Source organism: Homo sapiens, chromosome 6, assembly GCF_000001405.40.
Source record: "Homo sapiens chromosome 6, GRCh38.p14 Primary Assembly".
NCBI lineage: Eukaryota > Metazoa > Chordata > Mammalia > Primates > Hominidae > Homo > Homo sapiens.
Window position 1 is genome coordinate 34,360,909 of NC_000006.12, and position 21,874 is coordinate 34,382,782.

A 21,874-nucleotide genomic window follows, 5' to 3' on the forward strand; every position below is an offset into this window, starting at 1 on the left:
CAGACACCTCATGAAGAAATATATACATATGGGGCCAGGAGCAGTAGCTCATACTTATAATCCTAGCACTTTGAAAGGCTGAGGCAGGAGGACTGCGTGAGGTCAGGAGTTTGACATCACTCTGGGCAACATAGCAAGACCCCATTTCTATAAAAAATTTTAAAAATTAGCCAGCATGGTGGTGTGCACTTGCAGTCCCAGCTACTTGGGAAGCTGGGGTGGGAGGATCACTTGAGCCCAGGAGTTCAGTTACGGTGAGCTATGATCACACCACTGGCACTCTAGCCTGGGTGACAGAGTGAGACCCTGTCTCTAAAAAATAATTTTTAAAAGAACATATGCAGATGGTAAATGAATATAAAAAGATGTTTCACATCATATGTCAACAGGGAAATGCGAATGAAACAACAAGAAGACACTACTTAACACCTATTAGAATAGCCAAAATCCAGAACACTGAACACCACCAAATGCTGGTGGGGATGTGGAGCAACAGAAACTCATTTGCTCACTGGGGTGAATACAAAATGGTACAGCAACTTTGGAAAACAGTTTGGCAGTTTCTTACAAAACTACATATACTCTTACCCTATGATAACACAATCATACTTCTTGGTATTTACCCCAAAAAGTCAGAAACTTAAGTGACACAAAAACCTGCACATGTATGTTTATAGCAGCTTTATTCATAATTGCCAAAATCTTGGAAGCAACCATGACGTCCTTCAGTAGGTGAATGGATAAATAAGGTGTGGTACAACCACATAAAGGAATATTATTCAGTACTCAATCAAGCTATGAAAAGACATAGAGGAAACTTTAATGCATATTACTAAATCAAAGAAGCCAACATGAAAAGGCCACATACTGTAAGATTCCAACTAGATAACATTCTGGAAAAGGCAAAACTATGAAGACAGTAGATCAGTGGTTGTTAGGGGTGAGCAGAGAGGGAGGGATGAATAGGTAGAGAAAGAACAGAGAATTTTTAGGGCAGTAAAACTACTCTGTCTGGTGCATACATTTGTCCAATCCATAGGAAGTACACCAGCAAGAGAGAACTCTAATGTAAAGTATGGGCTTTGGGTGATAATCATGTGTCATAGTAGGCTCACTGATTGTAACAAATATACCACTGTGTTCAGGATGCTGATAGTGAGGGAGATTGCCTGTGGAGGCAGGGGACCTATGGGAACTCTGTACTTTACACTCAATTTTGCTATGAACCAAAAACTGCTCTAAAAAGTAAAGTCTATTTTTAAAAGTACTAAACATACATTCATTATATATACACATACACACACATAAAGAGAGAAGGAAAGACAAAGGTCCTGCTCTGTACCTCAGGCTAGAGTGCAGTGGCATGATCATAGCTCACTGCCACCTCAGCCTCCGGAGTAGCTGGGACTACAGGAGCATGCCACCACACCTGGCTAATTTTATTTTTTGTAGAGATGGGGTCTTGCTACATTGCCCAGGCTGGTGGCAAACTTCTGGCCTTAAGAGATCCTCCTGCCTTGGCCTCCCAATGTGCTGGGATTACAGGTATGAGCTAGTGGGCTAGCTCATGGATTAAAAATATTTTTAAATTATATGCTAGATTACCTCAACAGATCACTAAAGGTTCAATATAAACTCAAAAAATTATTAGTAACAAGTGATTCTCCTGCCTCAGCCTCCTGAGTAGCTGGGGCCTGCCACCATGCCCAGCTAATTTTTGCATTTTTAGTAGAGACGAGGTTTCACAATATTGGCCAGGCTGGTCTCAAACTCCTGACTTCAAGTGATCCCCCCACCTCAACTTCCCAAAGTGCTGGGATTACAGGCGTGAGTCTCTGCGCCTGGCCCCAAGTTCTATTCATGTAAATATAACCTAATTAAATTCTCACAATAACCCTAGGAATCAGATGGTATTAGTGGATGTATTTCTGTTTTACACTTGAGGAAACTGGTTTAAAGAGAATAATTCAGACCTGAACTTCAGATGTGACTCTAAAGCCATTATTTCCATACACCACCTGTCTCCGTTTGACTGCTGCAGCACTAGCTACCATGAGCTAACCCTCATGAGAGTCCTGAGAATTTGCATCCGAATAAAGAGCTTTTGGTAGCTTCAGTTCTGTATGGCACATGGATTCTAACAGCTTAGACTAGTAAAATGTGCTCAGAATATACAGTTAACGATTGAGCACAACACTCAAACCTGCCAGGACGTGGTTTTCCCCTCTACTTTGCTGGGTAACCAAAAGCTATCAGACATTCATAGCTGGTTTATGAACTGAGAGGTTGCATAATATGCTAACAGCTACGCCAAAGTTTATTGGGTTCTAGGGCAGCAGAGCTTGGGGGTCCTCCAGATCCATATCTCAACTCATGAAGGATAAAAGATTACCTGGGTTCCTTTGCAAGTTAACAAGTACTGGCATTTAGTCACTTTCACTCAAGGCAGGCAACTATGCAAAAGAGATTAGCAGAAACGGCAAATAACCAAAGGTAAATAAAGGGCAGACTTAACTGCTCATCCACCGCAGCACTGAAAAATAACTGAATTTTTATCCTAACTCATGAAGGAGAATAAGGGAAGCAGGCTTGTCACTTAAGGGTAAGAAGCAAACTCAGCAGTTGTGAGAGATTAGAGAGTCTTGGCAGTGGGAAACAGGGCCCAAAATAGATGTATTAAGCATGGGCTAGGTGAGAGTTCTGATCAGCATGTATTTTTAGAAATTGCACATTTCTACCTTTCCCATGTCCAGTTCAACATTAAGGAGCCAGCCTTCTGAAATGTCAGAAAAGTTCCTCCTACCCCCACAATCATCCTCACAATAGAAATAATCATAATCAGTGCCCAGCAGTAATTTTTTTTCTTTTTCTTCTTTTTTTTTTTGAGATAGTCTCGCTCTGTCACCCAGGCTGGAGTGCAGTAGCGCGATCTCAGCTCACTGCAACCTCCTCCTCCCAGGTTTAAGCGATTCTCCTGCCTTAGCCTCCCAAGTAGCTGGGATTACAGGCACCCACCACCACGCCCAGCTAATATTTGTATTTTTAGTAGAGACAGGGTTTCACCACGGTTGTCGCCCAACGTCTGTTTCTCCTCTATTCCAGAGACGCTAACAAGGAAGCTAGTTGCTAACTAACCAGACTGTGTCAAGCTCTCAAGTAAGACTAAACTTGACCATGATCTGTTTTAAGTAACAAATTTTTCTGCTGGTGTTTTCTATTGCTGTCAAACTATTATATTACAAGGGCTGTTTTTATCTACCTCTGTTGGGCATTAAGAATAAAGAAACATGTAACATGATTGTAAAAAGTCAGAAAACATGATTGGTGGAGGAAACATTTAACAGCTGACAAGCTGTCTTATGGTAAATTATTGTAAATATAACTGAATATAAATAAACTTACTAAGGTTTTGTCCTCATCTACAAGCCAAGCCCTTTTGTTCTCTAGCATTATAAAACTCCCTTATTTCCAATATATCCGACAGCAGCTCAACTTGTTGTTTGCCTTCTGTAGAATTTTTTTTAATAAGTTGATTTTAAAAATACAAGTGCTACTGACAGTTTCTAAAACTAAACAATGGCCTGCCATGGCCTAGGATATTAAAACAACAACAACAACAACAACGGAACAAATCTAAACAACGGGAAGTCATACATAAATCCTCTCCATTCTTCACAAATACTGTATCTTTTGCCCAACCTTTACCTTGATAAGTGAAGCTTTACCTCCCATCATAAATCAAAAACTCAGGCAGGGCCTAAGAACTGGCCATTATGTAACACACCAATAGCATCCAGTAGAGTGTATATAAGGTACAACAAATAATTATTAGAAGAACCAATCAGCTGGGTGCGGTGGCTCACACCTGTAATCCCAGCACTTTGGGAGGCTGAGGCGGGCGGATCACGAGGTCAGGAGATCGAGACCACAGTGAAACCCCATCTCTACTAAAAATAAAAAGAATTAGCCGGGCGCGGTGGCGGGTGCCTGTAGTCCGAGCTACTCAGGAGGCTGAGGCAGGAGAATGGCGTGAACCCAGGAGGTGGAGCTTGCAGTGAGCTAAGATCATGCCACTGCACTTCAGCCTGGGTGACAGAGCGAGACTTCGTCTCAAAAATAAATAAATAAATAAATAAAATAAAAGAACCAATCAGTAAAATATTAGTCCATCCAGGACACAATGTTGACAAGTAATTTCCAGATTTTTAAAATTTCACAGACAAGTTTTTAAAATAAATCGGCCAGGCAAGGTGGCTCACACCTGTAATCCCAGCACTTTGGGAGGCCAAGGCGGGTGGATCACCTGAAGCCAGGAGTCTGAGACCAGCCTGGCCAACATGATGAAACCCCATCTCTACTAAAAATACAAAAATTAGCCAGGCATGGTGGCAGGACCTGTAGTCCTAGCTACTCAGGAGACTGAGGCAGGAGAATCACTTGAACCTGGGAGGCAGAGGTTGCAGTGAACCAAGATCGCGCCACTGCACTCCAGCCTGGCAACAGAGCAAGACTCTGTCTCAAAAATAAATAAAATAAATAAATAAATAAAGTCCTGGGATATTATTTAGCCTTAAAAAGGAATGAGATTCTGACACATGTTGCAAGATGAATAAAATTTGAAGACATCATGCTAAGTGAAATAAGCCAGTCATAAAAAGACAAAAATTATGATTCCACTTATGAGATACCTGGAGTAGTCATATTCATTGAGATAGAAAGCAGAATGGGGCATAGTGGCTCATGTCTGTATTCCCAGCTATACAAGAGGCTGAGGCAAGAGGATCCCTTGAGGCCAGGAGTTCGAGACGAGTCTGGGTCACACAGCAAGAACTCATCTCTGAAAATAAATACAGGCCGGGTACGGGGCTCACGCCTGTATTCCCAGCACTTTGGGAGGCCAAGGCAGGTGGATCACATGAGGTCAGGAGTTCAAGACTGGCCTGGCCAACATGGTGAAAGCTCGTCTCTACTAAAATACAAAAATTAGCCAGGGGTGGTGGCGCAAGCCTGTAATCCCAGCTACTCAGGAGACTGAAGCAGGAGAATTGCTTGAGCCCCGGAGGCAGAGGTTGCAGTGAGCCAAGATTGCGCCACTGCACTCTAGCCTGAGAGCCAGAGCGAGACTCTGTCTCAAAAAATATATATAAATAAATAAATAATATTTTTTAAAAAGTAAGTAGAATGGGTCAGGCTCACACCTGTAATCCTAGCACTTTGGGAGACCAAGGCCAGCAGATCACTTGAGCCCAGGAGTTCAAAACCAGCCTGGGCAACATAGGAAGACCCCATCTCTACCAAAAAAAAAAAAATACAAAAAGTAGCTGGGCATGGTGATGCATGCCTATAATCCCAGCTACTGCGGAGGGCTGGGGTGGGAGAATCACTTGAGCTGAGGAGGTTGAGACTGCAGTGAGTCATGATTTTGCCACTGCACTCTAGCGTGGGTGACTGAGCAAGACCTTGTCGAAAAAAGAAAAGAAAAGAGAGAAAGAAAGGAAAAGGAGAGAAACAGCAAGAGAGAGAAAGAGAGAGAGAAGGAGAGAGAGAGAGAAAGAGAGAGAGGGAAGGGAGGGAGGGAGGGAGGGAGGGAGGGAGGGAGGGAGGGAGAGAAGGTAGTGCCAGGGGCAGAGAGGAGGCCAGAATGGGAGCTTACTGTTTTGTTTTTTAGAGACAGGGTCTCACTCTGTTGCCCGGGCTGGAGTACAGTGGCATGATCATAGCTCACTGCAGCCTCGACCTCCTGTGCTAAAGCAATCCTTGCCCTTCAGCCTCCCAAGCAGCTAGGACTGCAACGTGTGCCACCATATCTGGCTGAGACTTACTGCTTAATAGGTACAGAGTATCAGTTAGTGAAGATGAAAACGTTCTTGAGATGGACAGAAGTGACAGTTGCACAACAATGTGAATGTACTTAATGCCACTGAACTGTACACTTTTAAATACCTAAAGTTGTGCAAATTTTACATTACATATATTTTACCACAATTAAAAAAAAATTTTTTTTGAGACAGTCTCACTCTGTCGCCTAGGCTGGAGTCCAGTGGCACAATCTCAGCTCACTGCAACCTCTGCCTCCTGAGTTCAGGTGATTCTCCTGCCTCAGCCTCCCAAGTAGCTGGGATTACAGGTGAGCACATACCTGGCTAATTTTTGTATTTTTAGTAGAGCCAGGATTTTGCTATGTTGGCAAGGCTGGTCTCGAACTCCTCAAGTAATCCACCCGCCTCAGCCTCCCAAAATGCTGGGATTACAGGTGTGAGCCACAATGCCTGACCTAAAAACATTTTAATTGGCCGGGCGCAGTGGCTCACGCCTGTAATACCAGCACTTTGGGAGGCTGAGGTGAGTGGATCACCTGAGGTCAGGAGTTTGAGACCAGCCTGGCCAACATGGTGAAACCCCGTCCCTACAATTAACACAAAAATTAGCCGGGTGTGGTGGCGTGTGCCTGCGATCCCAGCTACTTGGGAGGCTGAAGCAAGACAATTGCTTGAACCTGGGAGGCGGAGGTTGCAGCGAGCCGAGATCGCACCATTGAACTACAGCCTGGACGACAAGAGTGAGACTCCATCTCATTAAAAAAAAAAAGAAAAAAAAATGTAATAAATAAAAGGTACTAATAGTTGCCACTACCATATTTTGTCATGTAAGTAAATAAAAGATTAAACATAAGTACCGTCCAGCATGACCATCCAGTTCATAAAGAACATTTTAGTACCAAAAACACTAGGACAAACCTAATTTCAGAACAAAAGACAAGTGGCAACTTTCCAATGCACTTATACATACATTGGCTTTCTTTTTCTCATTTTACCATAAAATAAAAACTTGCTTCTAGCCTTGCATTTGGACATTGCTGCTCTAAGGCAAGCTCAGAGCATTGCTTCATACCCTAGAAGGAAGAAAAGATGGAGAAAGAAGAGCTGTGCCATGGGCAAAACTGGCTACCATTTTGGGGAGTGGGGAAAGCTCAGGACTGCCAGAAGAATGGAGAGGTTAAAAGCTGTATCTTGGCCAGGCGCAGTGGCTCACGCCTGTAATTCCAGCACTTTGGGAGGCTGAGGCAGGCGGATCACGAGGTCAGGAGTTCGAGACCAGACTGGCCAATATGCTGAAACCTCGTCTCTACTAAAAATACAAAAATTATCCCGGCGTGGTGGCATGTGCCTGTAGTCCCAGCTACTCGGGAGGCTGAGGCAGAAGAATCACTTGAACCCAGGAGGCAGAGGTTACAGTGAGCTGAGATCGTGCCACTGCACTCCAGCCTGGGCGACAGAGCGAGACTACATCTCAGAAAAAAGAAAGCTGCATCTTCCATAAAGAATATTGTTTTCAGGTGTTTCTTTCTTGGGATGTTTTCATATTAGGACTACTTCAAGCTGCTTTTTTCCTCTCCTTCTTCCCTACCAAGTAGCTGGAGCCTGAGAAGGCCTATCTCTTTACAAGCTTGAGAAGGGACCTGAACTCTTGGAGGAATAACTGATCTGGAAAGGCACAGGCCAGGAGACCTCATAAAGCAAAGAAGTGCAGCAGCATACAATCCCCTGGGCTCCAGGGCATGGAGGAGAGAAAGTCTGGTTTATTTGGCTGTCATTAAATCAAATCAAAACATAGTACAGGGGAAAAACAAAAACACAGTATAGATGAATCTCAGACAGCAATTTTCAACTGGTGGCTCACAACCTCCCAGGTTTAAGCATCAACGTACGAAACAGTAGCTCTGCTTTTGTTTTGTGTTTTTTGTTTTTGAGACAGAGTCTCACTCTGTCGCCCAGGCTGGAGTGCAGTGGCGCACTCTCAGTTCACTGCAAACTCCACCTCCTGGGTTCACACCATTCTCCTGCCTCAGCCTCCTGAGTAGCTCAGACTACAGGCTCCCGCCACCACACCTGGCTCATTTTTTGTATTTTTAGCAGAGACGGGGTTTCACCGTGTTAGCCAGGATGGTCTTGATCTCCAGACCTCATGATCCGCCTGCCTCGGCCTCCCAAAGTGCTGGGATTACAGGAGTGAGCCACCGCGCCCGGCCCAACAGTAGCTCTGTTTAATAAGTAATTCATTGTCTGTTTTCTGGAGTGGATCTTGAGAAGCTTCCTCACAGTTCAACTCCCTTAGCAGCCTAGCTGATTTTGAATTAGTTCTATACTGTTTATTGGGTACCTGTAATAGACCACTGGTTGAACACAAGATATAGAAGAAAAACTTGTATAGAAATGTATGTTAACAAGGAACATAAATACAATTCTGCAAATTTCTTTCAAAATAATTTCTACCAGATCTGTAAGTTAAATTCAACTCATCAAAATGACTACACAAGAGAAAAATATATAATGAAGACTATCTCCATCTTGACTTTTTATTTACTGGGGGTTAAGTTACTCATAGCTACAACATTATTTACAAAAGGATACTTGAAAAAAGCATCCTGAAATCTCTCTTCTTTCATCATTCAGAAACAAAATTAATCTAAAAATATGAAATAAACCAGTAGTTTTCTTAAAGTTCAAAGGCAAAAATTCCAAACATTAAGACTTGTGTCAGACTTTTGTCTAAGCGATGGGGCTACAATGGTAAGCAAGACAGAGGAGACGGCTGCTCTGATGAAGTCACAGTTAAGGAGAGGGGTCTTGTAAACAGGTAAGTAAGATAACGTCAAACAGCGATAGGTACTAGGAAGGAAATTAAAGACCATGATGTGACAGTGTGTGACTTAAGAGGGCAACATCAAAGACAGGGAAGCCTTTGGTCTAAGAAAAATCAACATATTGATCTAAAGTCATTTACCATGTCACTTCAGTACAATGAAAAGATTTTTTAAAATTCTACTGAATATTATAACTTATTATAACTGAATAAACCACAAACAGAGCAGATGCCTGGAGGGTCTTCTCAGGAAACTTGGCAATATTAGGCAGCTGGCTGGTAGAAACTCCAAGGACCCAGAGACCCTAATCCTGACCTCTTCCTAGTATGACTAACACATGCCACTGGTGAAAGGTACATAATATTCATAATCTTGGGGACAAATCTGAGGTTTCCCAGAGGCAGTTTATAATGTCTATTACCTAAAAACAAATTTTTTAAAGTTACATTTGAATAAAGCCCTGAAACATAATATTTAGAAAACACTACATTTTTCTTGATTTATTTTTAAGAATTGGTGACTCCTCAAATAATATGGCAAGTTATTACTCAAAATCCAAACAGATTATCCATAGAACATTTATGACCATTTGCACCTGCCCTAATGGATAGTTTCTGCTGCCTTCTTGGCACCATTCTACAAGTCATCTCCACTATGCTCTATGAATCTAAACCTGAATAATGCTGGCTAAAATAAATAGGAACTTACTTTTCTCACTAACAGAAATCTGAGGAAGACAGCTACTGGAGTTGGTCTGACCACTTGATGCCATCAAGGCCCAGACTCTGTATCTTTGCACTCTCCCATTCCTCCTCATGGCCTCAAAGTGGCGGCTACAACTCCAGATACAACTTCAGCGTTCAAGGCAGATGACAGAAGTAATAGTGCCAGTCACATCTGTTCTTCAGCAAACTTCTGCTTCTGGGTCAGACAGCCACTCCTAATTGCACAGAAAACTGGGAAATGAGTATTTAGCGAAAAGAGGGTTCAGGATGTGGGGTCAGCCAAACAACAGTGTCTGTCACACACTGGTTGAGCCAAATATGGGAAACCAATGTCCAACTTCCTTCCTCGGACAGAACTTGACAAGCTGAACAATGGTGTTAATTTTAGACTAAGCTGACCATCAAACCAGTGAAGTCCAGCACCTCTGGGTGAATTCTCACATATTTTCTTTGGCTAAAACATAAACACGATTTTTGTTATAGTTGTTGTACTGTTGATGACAATCACCAACAAATAAAAAATGCATTAAAAATGTCTAATACTGGCCAGGCGCCGTGGCTCACACCTGTAATCCCAGCACTTTGAGAGGCCGAGGCAGGTGGATCACCTGAGGTCAGGAGTTCAAGACCAGCCTAACCAACATGGTGAAACTAAATTTTTAGTCTCTACTAAAAATTCAAAAATTAGCAGGGCATGGTGGCACGTACCTGTAATCCCAGCTACTCGGGAGGCTAAGGCAGGAGAATCGCTTGAACCCGGGAGGCAGAGGTTGCAGTGAACCGAGATCGTACCACTGCACTCCAGCCTGGGCAACAGAGCAAGACTCCGTCTCAAAAAAAGAAAAAAAAAAGTCTAATACCGCTTTGCTGTGTCTTTAAAAAGCAACTTTATGGCTACTGAAAATGCTTTGGGCCAGGTGCGGTAGCTCATGCCTGTAATCCCAGCACTTTGGGAGGCCGAGGCAGGCAGATCAAGAGGTCAAGAGATCGAGACCATTCTGGCCAACATGGTGGAATTCGTCTCCACTGAAAATAAAAAAATTAGCTGGGCGTGGTGGCGTGCCGGTAGTCCAAGCTACTCGGGAGGCTGAGGCAGGAGAATTGCTTGAACCCAGGACGTGGAAGTTGCAGTGAGCTGAGATTGCACCACTGCACTCCAGCCTGGCAACACAGCAAGACTCTGTCTCAAAAAAAAAAAGAAAAAATGCTTTGAAGATAGCAAGTCTCATACTCAGCAGATGCAGATTCAACGTGGGAAACAGGAAAGAACAATCACTACTAAATTGTTATTGATTCCTTACGAGATCCTTTCTGAAACCATTAGAGGTAACAGTCAGTTTATGTGGTTCACTGATTAGAAGAATAGAGAATCACACTAATTCTTATTAATGAGCACTGGGGAAATAGACTGGCAAGATGAGAATTATAATTCTTTAAGATGGTTGGCTAAGTGTCATTTTTTTATTATTGTTATTTTTTATATTATACTTTAAGTTCTAGAGTACATGTACACAACGTGCAGGTTTGTTACATACGTATACATGTGCCATGTTGGTGTGCTGCACCCATTAACTCCTCATTTACATTAGGTATATCTCCTAATGCTATCCCTCCCCTAACCCCACACTACAACAGGCCCCGGTGTGTGATGTTCCCCACCCTGTGTCCAAGTGTTCTTATTGTTCAATTCCCACCTATAAGTGAGAACACGCAGTGTTTGGTTTTCTGTCCTTGCGATCGTTTGCTCAGAATGATGGTTTCCAGCTTCACCCGTGTCCCTACAAAGGACATGAACTCATCATTTTTTATGGCTGCATAGTATTCCATGGTGTCTATGTGCCATATTTTCTTAATCCAGTCTATCACTGATAGACATTTGGGTTGGTTCCAAGTCTTTGCTATTGTGAATAGTGCTGCAATAAACATATGTGTGCATGTGTCTTTATAGCAGCATGATTTATAATCCTTTGGGTATATACCCAGTAATGGGATGGCTGGGTCAAATGGTATTTCTAGTTCTAGATCCTTGAGGAATTGCCACACTGTCTTCCACAATAGTTCAACTAGTTTACAGTCCCACCAACAGCATAAAAGTGTTCCTATTTCTCCACATCCTCTCCAGCACCTGTTGTTTCCTGACTTTTTAATGATTGCTATTCTAACTGGTGTGAGATGGTATCTCATTGTGGTTTTGATTTGCGTTTCTCTGATGGCCAAGTGTCACTTTTTTTTTAAGTGTACTTTGTGTCAGGTGCAGTTGCTCACACCTGTAATCCCAGCACTTTGAGAGGCCAAGGTGGGGAGATCATCTGAGGTCACGAGTTCGAGACTAGCCTAACCAACATGGAGAAATCCCATTTGTATTAAAAATACAAAATTAGCCAGGTGTGGTGGTACATGCCTGTAATCCCAGCTACTAGGGAGGCTGAGGCAGGAGAATCGCTTGAACCCAGGAGGCAGAGGTTGTGGTGGGCCCAGATCATGCCATTGCACTCCAGCCTGGGCAACAAGAGCAAAACTCCATCTTTAAAAAATATATATATATACTTTGTGAGATTGGAGAAAAATAAACCAATAATTTATCAATTACTGGTCAATAATACTATCTTCTTTTCTGGCTTAACATTGTCATCTACCCCCCATCTCATCCCTGCCCCCACTAAATCTGACAGGCTTTAATATATATACATAGAGAGAGAGAGAGCGAGAGCACGCGCGTGTGCCGGGCGCGGTGGCTCACACCTGTAATTCCAGCACTTTGGGAAGCCGAGGCGGGCGAATCACAAGCTCAGGAGATCGAGACCATCCTGGCTAACATGGTGAAACCCCATCTCTACTAAGAATACAAAAAATTAGCCGGGCATGGTGGCAGGCGCCTGTAGTCCCAGCTTCTCGAGAGGCTGAGGCAGGAGAATAGCATGAACCCAGGAGACGGAGTTTGCAGTGAGCTGAGATCACGCCACTGCACTCTAGCCTGGGCGACTGAGAAAGACTCCGTCTCAAAAAAAAAAAAAAAGTGTATACAGAATTCAAATTAGGATAAATTGCATATTATATGTGAATTTAATGTTATAAAATTTAAAGCCAGAATGATTAAAGAGAATAATTTCCTTCATACGTTTTGGGGGGAAACTAGAGGCTGAACGGTATCTATCCTCATAAATAATTGTAGGCCTATTGTGTATGGAGCACCACGTAGGCACCACAGAGGATAAACTATGAGCAGGAGAGAACTCTGGTAACTTATAACGTAATGGGCTCAAAAGAGGCTATTTTCCAAATTTGCTATGGTGAATGTAGAACATCTTTATAATGGAAGGAAGACTACTAAAACTGCCTTAAAAAGTATTTTATGGCATTCAAAATGTGCCAAAAATATCCATGTTTCTGACAAATTCAGCTTCTTCCCACAACACACACGCACTGGTGCTGGGATTCGTGATCAGCTTCAGCTAACAGTGACAACAGCAATAGATGCTGCTGAAGTTGGTATAGATTACACTTCTATAATTGTGTTACAGCCTTTCATTCCACCTGTTTTTGTTCTTTTAAATACTGGTACTGGGAGTCTGTTTTAGAAATATATTTTTATTCGGCTGGGCGCAGTGGCTCATGCCTGTAATCCCAGCACTTTGGGAGGCCAAGGCGGGCGGATCATCTGAGGTCAGGAGTTTGAGACCAGCCTGGCCAACATGGTGAAACCCTGTCTCTACTTAAAAAATACAAAAAATTAGCCAGGTGTGGTGGCATGCACCTGTAGTCCCAGCTACTTGGGAGGCTGAGGCAGGAGAATCACTTGAACCTGGGAGGCAGAGGTTGCAGCAAGCCCGGATCATGCCACTGTACTCCAGCCTGGGCGACAGAACAAGGCTCCCTCTCAAAAAAAAAAAAAAAAAAAAAAAAAATGCATTCTACTTGTTTAACTCCTTTTGTGGATCTGTCAGAAGAAAACTGTGTTATCTTTGTACATATTATTTTACCAGAATTATCACAGTAGACAGATTTCAACACTCTTTTGGTTCCAGTTCCCTTATTTCACTGACGTGGCTGGATAGATCATGTCTATGTTTACTTCCAGGTTCACAAATGTAAAGATTCTATAACTTCAGGTCTTCCTCTCTTTCCATAAAAGCTCTTTCACAGTAAATTCACAGAGCACCATTTACTGCAGTGAATCTTTCCTTTCTTTCCCAGTTCTTGTATTTTTTAGATCACATATCAGTCTGTCTTTGTGACGCTGTTATGATCAGCATCTGATTTTTTTTTTAATGCCTGCACAATCTGTATTGGAGTAGCAGCAAATTTATACTCATCCTTCAACACTCAGATCTAGTCCTTTCGCACTGTGTCTGACTTCTCAATCCAGCATTTGTCTACTCCTCCATTTCTAAAGCATTCGGAGAGGGTTCTTTTACAGCACTCATTTCACTGTATCATCATCATTTCTTGGCTAGTGTGATTCCTTCTGTGGTTCCTGCCTTCGTTACAGCACCAACTATGTTATCTGGGAGGCACTTTACTTTCCTCATTCAAGTCTCATAACAACTTCAAGAATTAGGTATTATTTATTCCCATTTTACAAATAAAAAAACTGACTCTCAGTCAACTTTCTGATTCTTCTGATCTTATAACATGCTCTTGAATCAGTCCCCAATCTTGGGACATCTCTACCGTTCTCTTTCCCCTCTCCAGCGTCTATATGCAAAGGGATAAGGAAATATATGAAACTTAAACAATATAAATTCCACCTCCTTTTGAGCCCACTAGGTAATAAGTTACCAGAGTTCGGCCGGGCGCTGTGGCTCATGCCTGTAATCCCAGCACTTTGGCCGAGGTAGGCGGATCACCCGAGGTCAGGAGTTCGAGACCAGCCTGACCAACACGGTGAAACCCCATCTCTACTAAAAAATACAAAAATTAGCCAGGCATGACAGTGCTCGCCTGTAATCCGAGCTACTCGGGAGGCTGAGGCAGGGGAATTGCTTGAAACGGGGAGGCAGAGGTTGCAGTGAGCTGAGATCGTGCCATTGCACTCCAGCCTGGGCGACAGAGTAAGACTCTGTATCAAAAAAAAATTAAAAAATAAAAAATAAAAAAGTTACCAGAGTTCTAAAACAGTCTCTCCTGCTCATAGTTTATCCTCCGTGGAGTCTACATGCTGCTTTATACACAGAAGGCCCACAATTGTTTGTGAGGATAAATACCATTCAGCCTCCAAATGTATCCCCTTATAAAACTATCACTTCAATCCTGACCACACCACAGTAACTCTGCCAGACTTTTTCTTGCCCCTCAAATCACCAGATCAGTATATTGATTGGAAGAGTAAATATGGTGAATAACTCTCCTTCTCAGAATAGATCCATCTGGAAGGAGTTTTCTCGAATTCATGTCAATATAACTCAGACTCTTGGGTTTTTTCATTTATCCACCTTCCAATCTCCGAAGAAAATGTGCTTCTTTCCTAAAGCCTGATTTAATCAACCCAAATCCACACGTCCATCTTACCATTCTTCTAACAGTTTTATAAAGTCATCGTTAAATCTGTTGCTACATCTCATCTTCATTATAATTGATGGCTCTAGGTGTGATCTATCACCTATCACATCTTTGTGAAATGTTCTTCCACCTCCGCTTTTATGACAGTGCTTCGAGTGCCATGATGCCCCAAGCTCAGGCCCTACGCTCAGTTTTGCTTTCTGTGTACTTTCTCTTGTGCTAACTTTCTATTCTCCCTCTCCAAGGTCCCTGACACTCCACACTGTATCTATAGTCCTAACTTCTTACTCCCCTTCTAGTCCCACATCTCCAACTATCATCAGTTGAATTCAGTTCATCACTTCAAATTCGACATGACAAAACCAAAGTTCCATCTTCTCTCCGAAACCAACCTCTCTTCTAAATTTCCATTTCTCCTGTCACCCAGGATCAAAATTTAAAAGTCATCTTCAACCATGAGCTCCTTCATCTTTTTTTTTTCTTTTCTTGAGACAGGGTCTCACTCTGTCACCGAGGCTGGAGTGCAGTGGCACTATCATGCCACTTGACCTCCCAGGCTCAAGTGCAATGGCATCTAGTGCAGCCTCGATCTCCCAGGCTCAAGTGATCCTCCCACCTCAGCCTCCTGAGTAACTGGGACTACAGGCATGCACCACCATGCACAGCTAATTTTTTATTTTTGTAGAGATGGGGTCTCCCTATGTTACTCAGGTTGGTCTTGAACTCCTGGCCTCAAGTGATTCTCCTGCTTCCGCCTCCCAAAGTGCTGGGATTACAGGCGTGAGCCACCATGCATGGTCTCCTTTATCTTTAACATATCATCTGTTACCAAACCTGTCCACCCTTTGATTACAGTGTCACTTAATACTTCATTCCATTCTGCTGCTACCATGGCTCTCACTTCCAGAATAGAACATCATTCTCCCAATCATTCCCTCTGGTAGCCCCCGCTGAGTTCACCCTGCATTCTACTCTCACACATACCTTTCCACAACCCTTTGAAGGACAACTGTGGTTCCCCACTGTAGGATCAAACCCAAACTCCTCATTATCTCAAATCAAGGCTCTATACCCTTAGCTCCCAGCCAGCTGACACCCCTTATCACTCCCCATCAATACCCTGCCACACCACTATCCCAGACCCAGGTTCATATGCTCAGAGTCTCTGGCATGCAACAAACTCATTCCCACCCTCAATCATGCTGGGTCTCCTTCTCCTAACATACTCTTTCCCCTCCTTTCTACGTAAATCCTATTAACTTCTTAGAGCCCAAGACTGACTACTTCTGTATTTTGCATCCAAAATGAAGCACTCCGGAAGCACAGCCTTTCCTACATTTTTTTCTAACTGCTCCATGTACTTTATGTCCCACTTTTTAAATTTTTGTCTGATCCCACCCAAGGCACATAATGCAGCCACTTGTTCAACTGTACTGAAATGCCTAACGGTAATTTAATTAATTCATCAATTTAGAAAAGCATTCTTCCTGGACAGCAGTGGACATGTCCACAGTTTTAAAACCATCACTGCACCGAGAATAGTGTTTTGCAAAAAGTGAAGCCTCAATAAATTCTTGTTAACCAAGACAGAACTTGGAGACTACAATATATGTATTTTAAGAAGCATCGTACTGTTTTCATAAACTTGGATTTTAAAAATTCATTTTAAAAAATCTGGTCCTTGATACCCCCAACATTTAAAACATTAAAAATTCACACATTCTCAAATATTATTTAGGATAATTCTAAAAAGAGAATTTAAAAAGTGTGGAGAGGGCAGGGCACAGTGGCTCATGCCTATAATCCCAGCACTTTGGGAAGCTGAGACGGACAGATCATTTGAGGCCAGGAGTTTGAGATCAGCCTGGCAAACATGGTGAAACCCGTTGCTACTGAAAATACAAAAATTGGCCAGGTGTGGTGGCACACACCTGTAACCCCAGCTACTTGGGAGGCTGAGGCATGAGAATCGCTTGACCCTGGGAGGCAGAGGTGGCAGTGAGCCAAGATCACACCACTGCACTCCAGCCTGGGTGACAGAGGGAGACTCCGTCTCAAAAAAAAAAAAAAAAGTGTGGAGAGAGCATGACTATGCTGATAAGCATTTTATAAAAACACTGGCGTTCAGGCTACTGTTAGTTACAGTGCTCTGATTTGCTCTAATTTGACTGAATTACTTTTTTGCCATTTAAAATCAATTTTACAAACTTTAGCATGAAGAAATTTTTACTACAAAAAGCGGAAAAATGGCCAGGTGCAGCGGCTCACACCTATAATCCCAGCACTTTGGGAGATCTAGGCAGGAAGACTGCTTGATCCCAGGAGTTTGAGACTAGCCTAGCGAGATCTTGTCGCTCCTACCCAAAAAAAAAAAAAAATAGCCAGATGAGGTGGCACATTCCTGTAGTCTCAGCTACTTGGGAAGCTGAGGTGGGAGAAGTGCTTGCGCCCAGGAGGATGAGGCTGCAGGGAGCCATGATCACATCACTGTACTCCAGCCTGGGAGACAGAGCAAGATCCTGACTTGGGGGAAAAAAAGGAAAAATGTTAAAGCTTGCTTCATAAATAAAATGAAAAGCTCTCCCACACACAAAAAAACTTCTGACTCAACATGTATACGTTTCTTCTGGTGCACTGGATTAGTTGAGGAGGCTACCCTAAAAACTACCAAAGTGATATATTAGGCAAAGTTCTTGGTTGCAAGCAACAAAGCCTGGCTGTCTGAAGCCAAAAAGGAATTTATTGGAAAAAATATCAAATGCTCAGAATATTGGAGTGGCAAGGACTATAGGACCAATCTTAGAAGATAGGCCCACACTATGAGCACTCCAGAGGTGGCAGCAAAAGCCACAGCCTGGGTCTATAGCACAAACATCTGGTCAGCACACAGTCACTGCCTTGCCCCACCCATCCCTTTGGCCTCCTCAGGCCTCCAACTGGTGGAGCCTTAGTCCCGCATCCACATGGCCACACCAGAGAAGAGAGCTAGGTGGAGGATGGGTCCCTCCCTCTCTCCAAGAAGGGCATTCTCCAAAAAGAATGGTACTCTTCTAATTTTATGCCAGAAAAATCAATCATTCAATACACTCCGCATCCCTGCACCACAGCCACCCAAACTCTTCTCTAGTGGCACCATTGTGTATGCTTATTGCTTCTACCATCCCTGGCCTCTTCTGCCCAGTCTGGCCATAGCACACCCTCCTCCAAGTCCATGATCAAGTCTTATGCCAAGACCTTCTCAGTCATACATCTTTATCAAACCCAAGAAGAATTCACCTCCCCTCTTCTTTCACCCACAGCAACGTAGTTCTAGTTTTCTTTTCATTAGCACAACAGCTCCATGATCTGTATAGACTCATGGAAAATAGAAAAGTCCACCTATATCAGTATTTGTTTAGTTTTCAATGTTTCAAAATAAAATTTAGATTTGCTAAATGTGTGACATAGTATAAAAGTATGGACTTTTTATACTTTTTATGACTTATTATAAAAGTAATCCATGGTGGGGTACAGTGGCTCACACCTGTAATCCCAGCACTTTGGGAGGCCAAGGTGGGCAGATCGCCTCAGGCCAGGAGTTTGAAACCAGCCTGGCCAACATGGCGAAACCCCATCTCCACTAAAAATACAAAAATTAGCTGGGCGTGTTAGCAGGTGCCTGTAATCCCAGCTACTTGGGAGGCTGAAGCAGGAGAATCGCTTGAACCTGGGAGGCAGAGGTTGCAGTGAGCCAATATCACACCACTGCACTCAAGCCTGGGCGACAGAGAGAGACTCCATCTCAAAAAAAAAAAGTAATCCACAGAAGTTTTTTTGTACAGACAGGGTCTTGCTATGTTACCCAGGCTGGTCTCGAATTCCTGGCCTCAAGTGATCATCCCACCTTGTCCTCCCAGGGTGCTGGGATTACAGGCTTGAGACACTGTACCAGCCCAAAGATTGTATTTTAAAATCTAGGCCAGGCGCGGTGGTTCATGCTTGTAATCTCAGCACTTTGGGAGGCCAAGGTGGGCAGATCCCTTGAGGTCAGGAGTTCGAGATCAGCCTGGCCAACATGGTGAAACCCCATCTCTACTAAAAATTAGCCGGATGGGGTGGCACATGCCTGTGATCCCAGCTACTTGGGAGGTGGAGGCAGGAAAATCCCTTGAACCTGGGAGGTGGAGGTTGCAACAAGCTGAGATCGAGCCATTACACTCCAGCATGGACAAGAGTGAACTCCATCTTAAAAAAAAAAAATAGTAAATACATATTAAAAGAAATCAGTTTTCTTTTATGCAGTAAAGTACTAATTTTTATCTATTTATTTATTTATTTATTTTTTGAGACAAAGTTTCGCTCTTGTTGCCCAGACTGGAGTGCAACAGCGCGATCTCGGCTCACTGCAACTTCCACCTCCCGAGTAGCTGGGATTACAGGCGCCTGCCACCACGCCCGGCTAATTTTTGTATATTTAGTAGAGACAGGGTTTCACCATGTTGACCAAGCTGGTCTTGAACTTTTGACCTCAGGTGATCCACCCTCCTCGGCCTCCCAAAGTGCTGGGATTACAGGCGCGAGCCACAGCGCCCAGCCCTATTTATTTTTTTTTTAAGAGAAAGGATCTTGCTCTGTCACCCAGGTTGGAGTACAGTGGCACGACCATGGCTCACTGCAGCCTCAAACTCCTAGACTCAAGTAATCCTCCTGCCTCAGCCTCCCAAATAGGTGAGATTATAGGCAAGAGTCACTGCAGCCAGCTAAAGTACTAATTTTTAGTGGTATATAGCATCCATACCATGAAATGAAAAGTAGATGAAATCATGAAGGATTTTCCTGGTTGATTTCACTGTTAGTTACAGGGTTCAAAATGGATAGAATTCTCTGTTGAGATCTTTGTTTTCATGTCCTTGGGGATGAGAAAAAGGGTCATCACTCTCTCATAGACACTGGACTGGGCCTCTTACTTTCTCTCTTTCTTCCAGCACAGATTAGGGGGACAGGCAGGGAATAACAGCTTTCTTTATCCACAATACGTTAATACAAACAGGCTTCCAAAGGCTGCATATCTGGGCCTCTGACTTAGACGGCCCAGTGTCCTTCACCTAGGATATTCTTCAACTACCCATATTCGACCAAGCTGTTCAGGTCTAGCCTGCTCCATAAAGTCATCCCTGACACTCTAGCTCATCTTTCTTCAAAGGCTTCTCCAATTCCTATAAACACCTCTCTCCATACTTCTCTATTTTACACTCCAAACTGCATCTTATTTTGCTTTTTAGACAGGGTCTTACTCTGTCACCCAGGCTGAAGTGCAGTGGCACAACCATGACTTACTGCAGCCTTGACCTCCCACGCTCCAGTGATCCTCCCATCACAGCCTCCCAAGTAGCTAGGACCACAGGCGCACACCACCACACCAGGCTAATTTTTAAATTTTTTTATAGAGACGAGGTCCCACTACATTGCTCAGCCTTGTCTCAAACTCTTGAGCTCAAGCAATCCTCCCACTCGGCTTCCCAAAGGGCTAAGATTGCAGGTGTGAGTCACTGCACCCGGCCTAAATTGCATCTTGCCAGTAGACTGAAGCTCAGATTCTGTATTCTACACATTTTAAAACTCTTCAGTTTGAAGTATTCTTTATAGATACCACAATACAATTACTTTTGTAACCAAAAATAATAATTCCCTCTTGAAAAAAAAATGACCCATACACCCTGGCAGAAGGATGATTGTGCCCAGCTAAAATAATTGAACCTACAAAAAAAAACCCACAGAAATACAATTATTATATACAGAAATTCTCTGGACTGTTTTCCTAACTCATATTGGCAATAAAATCTAAAAGTTTTGTCTTACTATTATTAAAGGCAGACTATCCAAACTGCAAAGCCTCCTAGGAAGAAATCAATACCACAGTGATAGATGTAAAAGCCCTGAGTCAGGGCTCAGCACATTTGGTTAATGATGGCTGAATATAAGCCTAGCAATCAAATCATTTCTGCAAAAAGGAAGCAAATAAAAATATTAAATAATCGGCTGGGCACGGTGGCTCACACCTGTAATCCCAGCACTTTGGGAGGCCGAGGCAGGCAGATCACGAGGTCAGGAGTTCGAGACCAGCCTGGCCAACATGGTGAAACCCCAGCTGTACTAAAAATACAAAAATTAGCCAGGCTTGGTGGTGGACACCTGTAACCCCAGCTACTCGGGAGGCTGACACAGGAAAATCACCTGAACCCGGGAGACGGGGGTTGCAGCGAGCCAAGATCACACCACTGCACTCCAGCCTGAGCGACAGAGCGAGACTCTATCTCAAAAAAAAAAAAAAAAAAAAAAAAAAATTAAATAATCAAACAGGCCAGATGTGGTGGCTCGTGCACGTAATCCCAACACTTCGGGAGGGCAAGGAGGGAGGATCACTTGAGCCAGGAGTTCCAGACCAGTCTGGGCAACATAATGAAACCTCATCTCTACAAAAAATAAAAAAAATATATATTAGGAGGGTGTGGTGGCACATGCCTGTAGTCCCAGCTACTCAGGAGGCTGAGGTGAGAGCATCACTTGCGCCCGGAAGGTTGGGGCTGCATTGAGCTATGATCACACCACTACACTCCAGCCTGGGTGGCAGACCCAGACCCTGTCTCAAAACACAAACAAACAAATTTCAAAGTATAAGCACAATGTAACTTCTCTTTTTTTGTTTGTTTTGTAACTTTTCTTAATGTATATTTTATTAGGATTTCTAAATATTCAAATAAAAATCATGGTTAGGTATAGTGGCTCACACCTGTAATCCCAGCACTTTGGAAGGTCAAGGCAGGAGGGCTGCTGCTTCGGTCAAGGCAGGAGGGCTGCTGCTTCAGCTCAGGAGTTTGAGACCAGCCTGAGCAACATAGCAAGACCCTGTCTCTACTAAAAATAAATTAGCCAGGCATGGTGGTGCATGCCTGTAATCTTAGCTACACGGGAGGCTGAGGAAGGAGGATCGCTTGAGCTCAGGAGGTCAAGGCTGCAGTTAGCCATG

General features: G+C 43.3%; 2 protein-coding genes across 2 annotated transcripts in view, besides 2 other annotated features; both read right to left on the minus strand.

The window, feature by feature from the left end:
- NUDT3 (nudix hydrolase 3) overlaps positions 1-21,874 on the minus strand; it is a 112,991-nt gene that overhangs the window by 81,230 nt on the left and 9,887 nt on the right. The window lies entirely within an intron of this gene.
- Positions 1-21,874, minus strand: part of RPS10-NUDT3 (RPS10-NUDT3 readthrough) — a 138,876-nt gene that overhangs the window by 73,715 nt on the left and 43,287 nt on the right. The window lies entirely within an intron of this gene.
- Positions 944-1,238: a silencer, noted in NCBI's record as "tiled region #13549; HepG2 Repressive non-DNase unmatched - State 19:H4K20". NCBI's record gives its function as "represses a minimal TATA promoter and a strong SV40 promoter by Sharpr-MPRA in HepG2 cells {active_cell/tissue: HepG2}" and the evidence as "EXISTENCE:reporter gene assay evidence [ECO:0000049][PMID:27701403]".
- Positions 2,011-2,060: a silencer, noted in NCBI's record as "silent region_17072". NCBI's record gives its function as "represses an Ori minimal core promoter by ATAC-STARR-seq in GM12878 lymphoblastoid cells {active_cell/tissue: GM12878}" and the evidence as "EXISTENCE:reporter gene assay evidence [ECO:0000049][PMID:35858748]".